General features: G+C 41.7%; 1 pseudogene across 1 annotated transcript, besides 2 other annotated features; it reads right to left on the reverse strand.

The window, feature by feature from the left end:
* Nucleotides 1–5,604: 5,604 nt before the first annotated feature.
* Nucleotides 5,605–13,470, reverse strand: HNRNPKP3 (heterogeneous nuclear ribonucleoprotein K pseudogene 3; annotated as a pseudogene). Its single transcript, NR_033868.1, has 2 exons — nucleotides 13,366–13,470; nucleotides 5,605–7,381 (listed from the first exon to the last, which is right to left on the reverse strand). The product of NR_033868.1 is annotated as a heterogeneous nuclear ribonucleoprotein K pseudogene 3 (transcript).
* Nucleotides 12,974–13,475: an enhancer, noted in NCBI's record as "H3K4me1 hESC enhancer chr11:43290423-43290924 (GRCh37/hg19 assembly coordinates)". NCBI's record gives its function as "activates a minimal SCP1, AML or CMV promoter by ChIP-STARR-seq in naive H9 embryonic stem cells {active_cell/tissue: H9 hESC(naive)}" and the evidence as "EXISTENCE:reporter gene assay evidence [ECO:0000049][PMID:30033119]".
* Nucleotides 13,476–13,975: an enhancer, noted in NCBI's record as "H3K4me1 hESC enhancer chr11:43290925-43291424 (GRCh37/hg19 assembly coordinates)". NCBI's record gives its function as "activates a minimal SCP1, AML or CMV promoter by ChIP-STARR-seq in naive H9 embryonic stem cells {active_cell/tissue: H9 hESC(naive)}" and the evidence as "EXISTENCE:reporter gene assay evidence [ECO:0000049][PMID:30033119]".

Consider the following 14,448-nt stretch of genomic DNA (forward strand, 5'->3'; position numbering starts at 1 on the left):
AGGATTATAAATCATGCTACTATAAAGACACATAGACACGTATGTTTATTGTGGCACTACTCACAATAGCAAAGACTTGGAACAAACCCAAATGTCCATCAATGATAGACTGGATTAAGAAAATGTGGCACATATACACCATGGAATACTATGCAGCCATAAAAAGGATGAGTTCATTTCCTTTGTAGGGACATGGATGAAGTTGAAAACCATCATTCTGAGCAAACTATCGCGAGGACAGAAAACCAAACACTGCATGTTCTCACTCATAGGTGGGAATTGAACAATGAGAACACTTGGACACAGGGTGGGGAACATCATACACCGGGGCCTGTCATGGGGAGAGGGATAGCACGGGGAGAAATACCTAAAGTAAATGATGGGTTAATGGGTGCAGGCATGGCACACGTATACCTATGTATCAAGCCTGCACATTGTGCACGTGTACCCTAGAACTTAAAGTATAATAATAAAAAAAAGTTAAAAGAAAATGAGAAGTTTTGTCACATGATGCCTGCAGTGTCTACTTGAAAACACACACCCCCACTTGCAGTTATATAAAGAGGATTTCCTTTTTCATTCTACAAAGTTTTACTAAAGGCCTGCTACATGTACACACTGCTATCAATAGAACAATGAAAATCTATGGGCCCTGACCTCAACAGCCATCATTCAGTATGCCCATCCCTCACTTAGTGGCTCTAATTCACTCCTGAAAATCCTGCTACTGCATGAAAAGTCACTAAGAAACAATATTTTCATTGATTTTAATGGAAAAAAATAGGACGTATTTCACCGTGACCAATAATACTCGAACACAGTGATACTTGAACAATTTGCAATGACAGAATAATATCTCAATTGAATTGTGAAACCAAGTTTTACGAGTATTAAAACTAAATCCAGTCAGTTCATGAACTATGGTACAATCAAGGCTTATTTTACACCGTACAGGATGAAGAGCAGGCAGAGGCGGGTGGAGGGGGGTGAGAGGGAGCCCATTCTGGGAAATGTGCATTCTCCTTTCTACACCATTTGCTTCACTGAGCTGTACTTAAAATTATTACACAGAAGCATATATGTAGGGTAAAAAAAAGTCCAAATGCAAGGGGATTTCCAAACATGGGGAAATAATGCTCCTACCTAACACATTGAAGAATTTTAGTTGATACTGCTCCCCCTTCCTCTCACTGGGCCTATGAATGCAAAGCAAAACATTTTAGGACACTCATTGGTATTTACCCAAAGAAGTTGAAGACTTTCATCCACACACAAATCTACACACAAATGTTTACAGCAGCTTTATTTATAATTGCCCAAACTTGGAAGCAACCAAGATGTCCTTCAAAAGGTGAGTGGATAAACAAACTCTGGTACATCCTGACAGTGAAATATTACTCAGTGCTAAAAAGAAATGAACTATCAAGCCATAAAAAGACATGGAAGAAACATAAATTTATACTACTAAGTGAAAAAAGGCAATATGAAAAGGTTTTTTTTTTTTTTTTTTGCCCTGGAAAGGGCAAAATTATGGAGACTGTCAGTGGTTGGCAACCAAAGCAAAAATAGACAATTGGGATTGCATTGAGATAAAATTCTTCTGCACAGCAAAAGAAACAATCAACAAAGTGAAGAGACAACCCACAGAATTGGATAAGATACTAGCAAACTATCCATCTGACAAGGGATCAATAACCAGAATATATAAGGAGTACAACCAACTCAATAGCAAAAAAAAAAAAAAAAAATCCATTTAAAAATGGGCAAAAGATCTGAACAGACACTTCTCAAAGAAGACATAAATGACCAATAGGTATATGAAAAATGTTCAACATCAATTATCATCAGAGAAATGTAAATCAAAACCACAATGAGATACCATCTCACTCCAGTCAAAATGGCTTATATAAAAAGACAAAAACGGAGCTGGGCACAGTGGCTCATGCGTCTAATCCCAGCCCTTTGGGAGGCTGAGGTAGGTGGATCTCTTGAGGTCAGGAGTTTGAGACCAGCCTAGCCAACATGGTGAAGCCCCATTTCTACCAAAAATACAAAAATTAGCCCAGCATGGTGGTGGGCACCTGTAATCCCAGCTACTGGGGAGGCTGAGGCACAAGAATAGAATCACTTGAACCTGGGAGGTGCAGATTGCAGTGAGCCAAGATTGTGCCACTGCACTTAAGCCTGAGTGACAGAGTAAGACTCTGTCTCAAAAAAAAATGACAAAAGTAACAAATGCTGATAAGGATGTGGAGAAAGGGAAACCCTCAAACACTGTTGACAGGAATGTAAATTAGTATAGCTACTATGAACAGCAGAATAAAAGTTCCTCAAAAAACTAAAAATAGAATTACCATATGACCCAAAATGCCACTACTGGGCATATATTCAAAAGAAAGGCAATCAATATATCAAAGAGATATCTGTACTCCTATGTTTACTGCAACACTATTCACAATAGCCACAATATGGAATCATCCTAAGTGCCCATCAACAGATAAACGGATAAAGAAAATGTGGTGTGTATATACTATGGAGTATTACTCAGCCATAAAAAAGAATGAAATCCTGTCATTTGCAGCAACATGGATGGAAATGAAGTCTATTATTTCAAACAAAATAAGCCAGGAACAGAAAGACAAATATTGCATGTTCTCAATAATATGTGGGAGCTAAAAAAGTGGATCTCATAAAGATAGAGAGTAGACTGGTGGTTACCAGAGGCCAAGAAGGGGATGGGGGAGAAGAAAGTGAAGAGGGGGAGAAGAATATAAGGTATTTATTGCCACTGATCTGTGCACTTAAAGATGGTAACAATAGTAAATTATACATGTATATTTTACATCAATTAAAAAAATTAAGATTTGTGGTTGCCTTGAGAGTACATGGACATAGAGAGGGGAACAACACACACCAGGGCCGGTTGCGGGTTGGGGGTGAGGGGAGGGAACTTAGAGGACAGGTCAATAGGTGCAGCAAACCACCATGGCACAGGTATACCTATGTAACACACCTGCAAGTTCTGCACATGTATCCCGGTTTTTTTTTAAGAAAAAATAAAGTTTAAAAAAAATAAAAGAATCAGTGGTTGCTAGGGTTTAGAGGAGAGAGAGATGAATAGGTGATGCACAAAGACATTTTAGAGTGGTGAAACTATTCTGTATGAAACTATTATGGTAAATAAATGCATGTCTTCATAAACTGGCCCAATCCTGTAGAATGTACAACACCAAGAGTGAACCATAATGTAAATTATGGACTTTGGGTGAATATGATGTGTCAATGTAGGTCCATCAATTGTAACAAACGTACCACTCTAGTTGGGGATGTTGATAATGGGAGAGGCTATGCATGTTGGGGACAGGAAGTATATGGGAAATCTCTGTACCATCCTCTCAATTTTACTTTGTACCTAAAACTGCTCTTTTTTAAAAAGTCATTAAATATGAAAAAATGGAAGGTCATTCAGAATGATGTGCAAGTCAAAAAGTCCCATATAGTCTCTGACTAGAAACTGTTGGGTCCAGTAAATGCCTACAGATGGAATACCAGAATCTCACTCTTCTTTGTAACATTTATATTTAGTGTGTTTTGAGTTCATTTTATTTGAGTGTGTTTTTTGTTTTAAAAAGTCATCATATCAGCCTGGAAAAGTGACTCGCACCTGTAATCTCAGTACTTTGGGAGCCTGAGATAGGAGGATCACTTGAGTCCAGGAGTTTGAGACCAGCCTGGGCAACATAGTGAGACCCCATCTCTACAAAACTAATGAATAAGCAAACAAAAGTAGCCTGCCATGGTGCCATGCACCTGTAGTCCCAGGTACTCAGGAGGCAGAGGTGCAAAGATGGCTTGAGCCCAGGAGTTTGAGGCTGCAACGAGCCAAAATCACACCACTGCACTCTAGCCTGGGTAACAGAGTGAGACCCTGACTCAAAAAAAAAAAAAAGTCATTATAACAAAAACAGGAATCTGTTTAAAAAGTGAAATAACTTTTCTGGAGCTGTTGTGGCAAATTGTCTTTAGCTGAACAGTTGTCATGCAAGATGAGTCTGTTGACCAGCAGCTGAAGAGGGAATCTACAATAGTTAGGGGCAGAGTGGGGAATACAAGGGAAAATAGGTAATGAGAAATGCAGAGCTCCAAGCTACCAATTATCTGAAAAGGGGGCCCCTCCCAGCTGAAAAAGCAGGGCCCCTTGTGTCCCTGCTTCACAAGGCAGTGAGAATATCATTGGCTCCAGAAAGCTGAGTATCAAACCACAAAAGAGTAAATAACATCTTCTGCCCATGAGAGGCCTCTCTGTCAGCCACACTTGGCTGTTAGATTTAACCGACCTGTGACCATATCCTGTAGCCCTAATCCCACCCCGTTGTCTATCAAATGCAAACTGTCAGTCATCAGGAAGACTAGATAAGAAAGTGTGAACAACAGTGGAATTCTATGTCCACTGGAATTAATAGCATTGCATAAGACACAACAAGCTGCATTACTGTTTTAAAGCCAAATCCCAGAAATGAGGACCTCTGCTAGCCGGCATGGTGCCTTTAGGTAATTTTGAGAAAGGTGCCCAGTCTGGGAAAGTCCCTCAGATGTAGCACCAAGACCAGATACAGAGCTTAATAAATGAAGCAAACTTTCCATTTCAGCCCTCGTTCACCTCTTATTAGTCTGAGTGTTTTTATGCAGTGCACAAAATACACATCTATATGCAGCAGTCCCAACAGAAAACTACATAATGGAAGAATGGAAAACCCAGCCTGCAGACTACTTATTTCAAGGAATATTCAATAGTCACTTTATATTTAAATTCCAACACACAGAGGATTCTGGAGTCAAGAGATCAGGATCATATACATGGTGAAACCATAACATAATATATAATCCTGAGCAAATCACTTCTCTTCTTTGTCTGACCTCAATTTTCTCACCTGCAAATAGAGGAAACTGAACTTGCTGACCTCTGAAGATACTTCCAGCTCTGGTCTTCAGGTATCTAAGATGAACTGGCACAAAAAGTGTGGAGGGTAGCATTGTTTGCAATGACGACAGTTTTTTAAAAGGATAAAGAAAAAAATCCTGACCACCACCCAGATGTTCATCAATAATGGACGGAAGTAAATGATAGTACATTTATGCACTGTAATAATTTGTAATATTTTTAAAATAAACCATTTAAATCTATAGTTAATGATATAGAGCAATGCCTGATATGTAGTGTTAATTTTTTTTCTTTTTTTTTTTGAGGCGGAGTCTCACTCTTTCGCCCAGGCCAGACTGCAGTGGCACTATCTCGGCTCACTGCAAGCTCCGCCTCCTGGGTTCACGCCATTCTCCTGCCTCAGCCTCCCGAGTAGCTGGGACTACAGGCACCCGCCACCACGCTCGGCTAATTTTTTGTAATTTTAGTAGAGATGGGGTTTCACTGTGTTAGCCAGGATGGTCTCGATCTCCTGACCTCGTGATCCACCCGCCTAGGCCTCCCAAAGTGCTGGGATTACAGGCGTGAGCCACTGCGCCCGGCCTGTAGTGTTAACGTTTTTAAAAAACAAGCTGTAGAAATATATAAAGAATATGATTTAGACACACACACACACGCACACACACAGGCTTATTTTTTATTTAAAATGATCGTATAGGGTTAACACAATAAACGATTCACAGTTGTTAGTTTTAAAAGGTATGATGGAGGGGTGAGGGGTAAGAAGGGAGTCTTTCACTTTTATTTTACATCCTCTGTGACTATTTTAGGTTTATCTAAATTTATCTTAAAAGTCGTAAAACATTTCTTACTAAAGAGCCTTACATTCTGCACACTGCTCTGAACAGATGCCAGGGACATGTGGCCTATTGTTACTCTTCCTCCCTGTCTCACCCCTCAAATGTTACAGTGACCACAAAGTAAGGTGTTCACAAAAATTACATAGGGGAACATTTTTTTAAACCAGTAACAATGAACACAAAAAAAAATCCGCTCATTCTACTGCTGTTTCAAAATTTCAACATTAGTTTTTGCAAGCCCTTCCCTACATCCCCAACCCTGTTTGTAAGGAACTAAAACCTTACATCTGGTGAACAGCAAAGGTTTCACTACACCTCAGATGCAAAACACCTGTGAAGCAGAGGCATGATGGCTTTTTAAACAGAAGCAAATGTAAAAAAAAAAAAAGATGCAGGACTCCTTCAGTCCTTCACTAGCATTAGTAAAAACTTTCCGGAAAACTGCTTCATACTGTTCTGCAGCAAATACTGTGCATTCTATATCTGGTCCTATGTTCCTATAATGATAATGATCTGATCTTCACCTCCTTCTAAAGGCTCATCAACTTTAGTTGAAGCTCCAACTCATGATGGATTTGTTTGATTCACTGACCACCTTTGCCAATAATAGATCCAACCAAATATTTGGGAATAGTTCCTTGTGTAGTAATAATAGGTCCACCATATGAGCCACTGTCCGCTGCATAGGAATAATTATATCTGGAGCCACTCTGTGGTTCATAAGCCATCAGCCATTCTGATGCACTCCATGTATCTATTGCAGAGTCCCAAGTTTCATCAGCACTGAAGCCAGCCATGCCATGTAACCATCTCCAGGTCTTCCTCTTCTGTCATAGGCCCTTATGTCTCCTACCCTCTGTAGTGGTAGTGGAGAAAGAGGAAGATTCTCAGCTTTGCTACCACCCCAGGCACCTTGTCCAAAAGAAGGAGGAGGTGGTCCTCAACAAGGACTCATGTCATCATAATCTCTTCCAGATGGCCACATGGAACACCCACCCTGACTGGTAGACATTCTGTCAAAACCACCTCTTCCCTGCCTGGGAAACCCCACCAGGCATCCATGGTGGTCATCAGACAACATTGTAAAACCACCATAATATAATGGTGTTACATCATGTAATGTAATAGGTTACATCATGAAAATTGGGATTATAAGTCTGTGCACATCCTCTGTAGGAGACTCAGATATAAGATCAAGGATAATTTTATGCACTCTACAACTCCATAGTCTTTCTCCAGTAAGAACAACTCCGTCAGTGGAATGAGGACAGCATTCCCGGAAAAGCTTGATTGTTGTTTGAGTGTTCCCTTGAAGCTCTTTGATTTTAGCATCTTTGACCTCAATAATTCCTCCTGCCAGACTCTGATGAGTCAACAGCCTCAATTCGCAATCAAAGTTGCTTCCTTTATAATGGTGGTACTCTTCCAAGGTAGGGATGATTTTCTTCAGAGTTTCTCCAACTGTTTCAATATCAGCACTGATACTCAGCATGCACTTGGGGCCATTGCCCTCTGGGGCTAGAACCCTGGCTCTGTAGTCTATACAGAAAGCCTTAATATTCTTATCTCCTTTTCCAATCACTGTCCAAGCATTCTTGCTCTGAAACACAACGCATAATTCAACCATCAGTGTTTCTAGATCTTTTAAATGCTTGTTCTTCTTCCATATATTCTGCAAGGCATTTACCAAATTCACCACTGGTTTCAGTGCTAGGGAAGGTTTTCTCTAGCTGTTCAGTTTCCATTTCTTGAATCAGTGTGAAATGGATACACCAATCTATAGGCATGTGGGGGAAATGTGGGACACAGGCAAGATGTCGAGGTCGGTGCAACAGAGAAACAGGATAATGACTCCTCTGTGACTTTTTGAATTTTATCATAAGCATTAATCACACTGGGGATAAAAGTAGACAATAAAATGTTTTAAGTTAGGTAGTCAACAATTAAGATCAAAATATAGAGGAGGGATTGCTAACTCTGAAAACTTCATGCCATTATTTAGATATTTTCTTATTCCAGGGTCTGCAGCATTGCCAGAAGCACATCCACTGGGGTCAAGTTTATGACTCAGTTTCCTAAAATGCTCTCACCTCCAGGTTCCAGCTCAGTGCCATCCTCCTCAGCTTCTCCCTGTGGAAGATGAGGCACCTCACAGTATCCTGATTTTACCTCTCTTTGAAATAGCTTGAGGATTTCTCCAAAATAATGGCTCTTTCTTCTAGATATTAATTAAGAAGGTCAGTTGCTGTTTAACTTAGAATCACAAGGTCCAAACTGAAAAGCCTAACTTCTCTAACTCCACAGAGAGCAATAAAATCCTCTCTGCAGAGACTTAATATAAGCAAAGAAAATTCGTCTGGAAAGGTGAGGCCCATCAGTCAGCAGGAAGCTACAAATCCCACGGCTGGTGCAACTCGATTATTGACCTCCACTGTAATCGTATCTGTTTTCTGTTGAGAATGAACTAAATTCCGTCAGGCTGGGCTCTCAGGGTCTCTGTTCACTCCCAGTTCATGATGCAGTGACCTGCGCTGAAGTCTCCCAGGGTAAATCTATTTTTTAATCATCTCCTCCATCCTGCTTTCCCTGTCTCTTAAATGGGAGATGCCTATCCTTACCACTGCTGCTTTTATAATTGAGAAGAAATCAATCAGGAATGACCAAAACACAATGTGTCTATAAAATACAACAAAATAATCACAGCTATTACAATGTTTAAAATCCACCAGGGCCTTCAAATCACTTGGGAAAGCATTTTATGTGTGAATATAAATCACACCATCTGCTGCTCTCCCCTAATGTTTAAATCAGATCACTGCCAAATCCAAGCATCAAAGAAAGAAGAAAAATGAGACCATTTTTTTTTTTTGCTTTCTCATACCTTTGAGCCTCTTCACCTCATTGCACCTCCCTTTGTCCTTCTAAGATGTAGGTTTTCCCCAAGGATGTTCATTGAGATCAACTTCACAAGTGATTGGCTTTCAAAAAAGTAAATGTATAATCTCCAACATAGACACCCACAAAAACTAATCCTTGAAGGCACCCTCCCAATGTTGAAAAGAATGGGATTTGGATTGAAAAGAATGGGATTTGCAGGGGGGAAAAAGAATTTTTGAAAAGTAATCAAACTAGGCTGGGCTCAGTGGCTCACGCCTGTAATCCCAAAACTTTGGGAGGTTGAGTCAGGTGGATCACATGAGATTGGGAGTTGAGACCAGCCTGGCCAACATGGTGAAACCCCGTCTTTACTAAACAAATACAAAAATTAGCCAAGCATAGTGGTGCACGCCTGTAGTCCAAGCTACTTAGGAGGCTGAGGCTGGAGGATCACTTGAACCTGGGAGGCAGAGGTTGCAATGAGCTGAGATTGTGCCACTGCACTCCAGCCTGGGTGACAGAGTAAGACCATGTCTCAAGAAAGAAAAAGCAAGCAAGCAAACAAGCATGCAAGAAAGAAAGAAAGAGGGAGGGAAAGAAGGAAGGAAGGAAAGAAGGAGAGAGAGAGACAAAAGAAAGAAAGAAAAAGAAAGAAAGAGAAAGAAAGAAAGAAAGAGAGAGAGAAAGAAAGAGAGAGAAAGAGAGAAAGAAAGAAAGAAAAGAAAGAAAGAAAGAAAGAAAGAGAAGGAAAGAAAGAAAGAGAGAAGGAAGGAAAGAAAGAAAGAGAGAAAGAAAGAAAGAAAGACAGTCTTGGTCCTCAGAGGGCTCACCAACTGTAAGAGATGCTTTCCTCTCAATTCCTTTCTTGCTCAGGGAAATACTAAGACACACCTAGATTGGGGATGTTAACCTCTCATCAGCTTCCAGGTCACAAACACAGCTGAATCACGTGCACAAGGGAGGTTCAGAAAGCAAGAAAAGATTTTCTGAGGAATACGGAGGCCAACCCTGAAATGCAAAACCACATTACACCAATTATTCCTGATCCAGGCTGAGGTGTCTGGATACAGTGGATAATTAGAGGCTGCCCCAGTCTTTGCACCGACATGACTGGTGCTATTTAATGTAATTACATTACAGTAAAATGATGAGTTTTCCCATAATTGGTAGTTACAACATAATTGTGACTACACAGAATATTAACACCCTAATTGCTGGAGCCTTCTATTCATGTCAATGAATGTTTCCATTCTCTCTGGGCAGTAAAGTGAGAGAATTAGAATTTTCTGGACTAGCCCCTCACATCCATCCTCTTTTTTTCATACATCAATCCCCTTAGATCTTTTAAAGAATCTCACTTTTACGGTAAGCCTCAAGGACACAATTTCTTTTTCTCCTCTTACTTTCCACCTTCCTTCCCTAATACAATCAGCTCTGCAAACCAGAAAGCATGGGACAGATTCATTTCATTGACAAGCACAGTATTCTAGAGAGTGCTAAGCTCAGAAAAAGGCAGGCCTGTGCAAATCCTGGCTTGCCTGCTTTATTTCTGTGTGACCTTGGCAAGTCACTTAACCTTGCCAAGTCTTAGTTTCCTCATCTGTAAAGTGAAGATTAATACCACCCGCTTCATGGTACTAATGTAGCATGTAAAATAAGCACTTAAGTCCAGATGCGGTGGCCCATGCCTGCAACCTCACCACTTAGAGAGGCCATGGCGGGTGGATCACTTGAGCCCAGGAGTTCGAGACCACCCTGGGCAGCATGGTGAAACCCCATCTCTACAAAATATATATTTTTAAATTATCCAGTCATGGTGGCACACACCTGCAGCCTCAGCTACTCAAGAGGCTGAGGCAGAAAGAACTCTTAGGCCTGGGAATTCAAGGTTGCAGTGAGCTATGATCATGCCACTGTGCTCCAGCCTGGGTGACAGCAAGACCCTCTCTCTATAAATAAATAAAATAAGGGTATAAGTAATGTTAGTTGAATTTGAGAGTATCTTACTAACAAAAATTATAGGATATTGTTCCCAGGGTTATTTCTGTTTTTAAGGGGAATACGGATACTTTGAATTAAATCAACCAACATCATTATTCAACAGGTAGGTAAAGTATTTAAGGAAGTAGAAGAAGTTCTTCCAAAACTCATTGTCATACATAATAATGTCTGGCCACTTAAGACACAGATTAGCATGATGATTTAATGCAATACCCAAAATCCAGATGGCCCAGGTCTAGATCCCAGTCTGCCACTTTCTACCTGTGTGGCATTGGGCAAGCAAATTTACCTATCTGTGTTATTATCTCCATCTATGAAACCAAAATGTTGTTAATTGTACTAAACTCGTAGGGTTGTTATAAGGATCAAGTAAGTTGAAATACGTAAAGCCAGCTCCTCCTACCACCCCCAGCCAACCAAACACTTTCTAAGGATTGAGACTATATATGTGTGATTAAGTCCTCTTCAATGGTAGGAGCTGTAAGACGTAAAACTTAGCACTGTTGATAGCAATTATTCCCCTCCATATGAAAAATAGAACAAAAGAAAAAAGAAAAAACAGCAGTCTTCAGTGAGAAAGAATGCAGGAGACACAGTGGAAAACAAAGAAAGAGCTGGTGATATTCCAGAGCTTGTTCTAGTTTGTCCTGCATCCCAGATTTCTATGATTTAGTTACCCAACCTCCCTTAGAGACTATGAGCTGATAAATTCTCCTTTCTGACAAGTTGTATTTTCATCTCTTGCAACCAAAAGAGTTCTGACTGATGCGTCCCTAAATTTTGGGGAGAAGCATACTGACATCCTTGAAAATTGAAGTAGGCTGGGCCTGGTGGCTCATGCCTGTAATCCCAGCACTTTGGGAGGCCAAGGCAGGTGGATCACCTGAGGTCAGGAGTTGGAGACCAGCCTGGCGAACATGGTGAAACCCCATCTCTACTAAAAATACAAAAATTAGCAGGGCATGGTGGCAGGTGCCTGTAATCCCAGCTACTCGGGAGGCTGAGGTGAGAGAATTGCTTCAACCTGGGAGTCAGAGGTTGCAGTGAGCCGAGATTGCACCATTGCACTCCAGCCTGGGAAACAAGACTGAAACTCCGCCCCCCCCCCCAAAAAAAAAAAAGAGAGAAAAAGAAAAATGTAAGTAGATGAGCATTGACACCATCACCAAAAACCTTCTCAACTGCTTTTACAACAGGAAAAAAGAGAAGGGCTATGTGTATAGTGAATATCGCAGGGAAGAGGAACAGTCCCAGTCTTTGGGCTAGACACCTTCCTCTACCACTGCCTTGTTAGACACTTGAGCAGGTCCTTTAGCTGCTTTAAATCAGAATTTCTCCCCCTCCTTTTTTTTTTAAATAAAAGGATTGAATTACAAGACTTCTAGGACCCTTTAAGCCTGAAAATCCTAGCTTTCAGTTTCATTTCTCAAAGTCAATTAATTGCATCTGAGCTGTCAAGATTCATTGGTATTTGTCTAGCAGGAGTTTGTTTTCAAAACTCCTTCCTATTCTCCTTTTTTTTCAGTCTGGAAGCTTCTGTTAGCATTTGAGCCAATCTCATCGTTTCTTCAATTAAATCCAACACTTCTTGGAAACTGGCTGGAAGGCTACAGCCTGGATGGCAGAGAAGGGATTAACAAGAGTTGCTCATTAGCACGATACGGCTAATGAAGAAACTGTGTGGCGATCGCTTCTCTGGAGAGGAGTTTAACCTTGGGAAGGATTTCACTGGTGGCGGCTGAGGACACTGATGCCTTTGAGAAGGGGTTGCAGAAATTAGCCTAGGGTTGCACTCACTAAGAGAGAGAGAGCCTTAAGTAAAGGCACTTGGAATTTGTTCAGGCCAATCTGTAGGGAGCAGATGTCGCCAGGAGCTTGGGGCTGGGATGTGAGCCAAGGTCGAAGAAGGAGTCAGGAAAACCCTAGTGACAGATCAGCGGAGCCAGCGGCCATGCCTGTTATAGAATGAAATGCTGGCTTCCAATGTTTGCAGCCAGCTTTGCTGTATCTGAGAAGAGTTGGAAGGAAGATGAAAAGATGAAAAACGCCTGCCAAGCAGATAGCAGTCTTGCCTGCCACGTCTGAAATGGCATGTTTAATCACAGTGGCACACTTTCTCTTGCCTACTAATGACAGAAGGAAGTTCCTAATGAAGTTATTGCTCTGCTGACTGAATTAATGATTTCCAGTTACAGGGCTTGTAAACACACCATGTTACACGTGCACGTGTTAATTGAGGCTTCACTTTAGAGACACTGACTCCACAGATAACTCATCACAGGTAGCAAAGTACCAAGAGAAAGCAGGGCTAACCAAGGGGAATGGGCTGTGGTTGCTTGGAACACTCAGGGCCTGATAAGTATTTGTGAATTAGGGAAAGGGGAAAGGGAGAGAAGTGGATGACACCTATCTAAAGATGAGAAAGAGGGCACCAGAGAGCAGATAAAGCAATCCGTATCCCTGACCTGTGCCTCTGCCATCCCCTATATCCAACTTCATACTCCATTCCTACAGCATTCATTCTTCCCACCTTCAAGCCCACTCACTGCAAATCCCTAATTTAGACGTTGCACTGAACATATTTGCCCAATGGTGAGCCTGATAATATGGCCAAATATGCTGGAGAAAGAAATTGTTTTTTTCTTTTCCAAACGTGTTTTTTAAAGCCATCAGAAGGACATGCGTCTTTTAAGGTGGCAAGCTCACCTGTGGCGTCACGGGGTCCACAGCAAGGAGGACACAGAGAAGCCAATCTCGGAGGCCACAGGCTGCGTCCCACTTCCTGTGGCTGCGCTGCTGCCATCTGCATCTGAGTCGGTCAGGGACTGAGAGCACAGCAGGCCGGGGAGCGAGCGGCTGCCAAATTACAGAGCAAGGAGCACTTAGGATGGTGGGAGGGGGAGGAAAGGAGGAAGCTAACTAATAGCTTGCAAGCGTGTCTTCTAAAAAGTGTGTTAACCAAACAAGCTGCCATCCCTTAATCCCTCCCACTCCTGCCTGAATGTACACTAATTGAAAATTAAGTTTTCAATTTGAAGCCATTTTCTAATTCTGTCTCATTCAGGAGCAGTTAGAGCGCCGGTGTTTTGCTGAATTCCCAGCGTGCTTTTCATGAGCTCCCTCAGAAAGCCAACAAAAGAGTCTTGTCAACATGTTTCTGACAGCAGCAGGAAAAAGGGTTTGTGTAGAAGGAGAGGGTCATCTTGGGAGCCAAAGAAAGCAAGGCCAGACCAGGCTACAGATCCTGCAGATCTTGACTGGACATAGAAGACATTTATTTCCTCCTTCCTTTTCCCATCTCTTCTTTCCCCAGTTAAACCGTAGTTACAGCCTGGTCAGAAGGGAATCCTCTCACTCGTCACTGACCTGTGCCCAGCACATTTGGAAAACCTCGCCAATAACACCAGAAGCTCCTTGTGGGCAGGCACTCTGTCGTATACAGACAGGCTTTGATTTCCAGGGGTAATTGACTACCGTGAATGAACTTACTTAAAAGGAGAGGAAAACGTCATAGAAAATAGAGAAAACGAGGTTTACTGGGGTTCTATATTAAAACCTGAAGTGGGCTGGGCATGGTGGCTCACGCCTCTAATCCCAGCATTTTGGGAGGCCAAGGTGGGAGGATTCCTTGAGGTCAAGAGTTCAAAACCAGCCTGAGCATCAGAACGAGACCTCATCTAGAAAAAAGAAAGAAAAGAAAGGAAGAATGGAAGGAAAGAAGGAAGGAAGGAAGGAAGGAAGGAAGGAAGGAAGGAAGGAAGGATTCAAGCATGGTGCACGCGCCTGTGC

Source organism: Homo sapiens, chromosome 11 (genome assembly GCF_000001405.40).
Source record: "Homo sapiens chromosome 11, GRCh38.p14 Primary Assembly".
Taxonomy (NCBI): domain Eukaryota; kingdom Metazoa; phylum Chordata; class Mammalia; order Primates; family Hominidae; genus Homo; species Homo sapiens.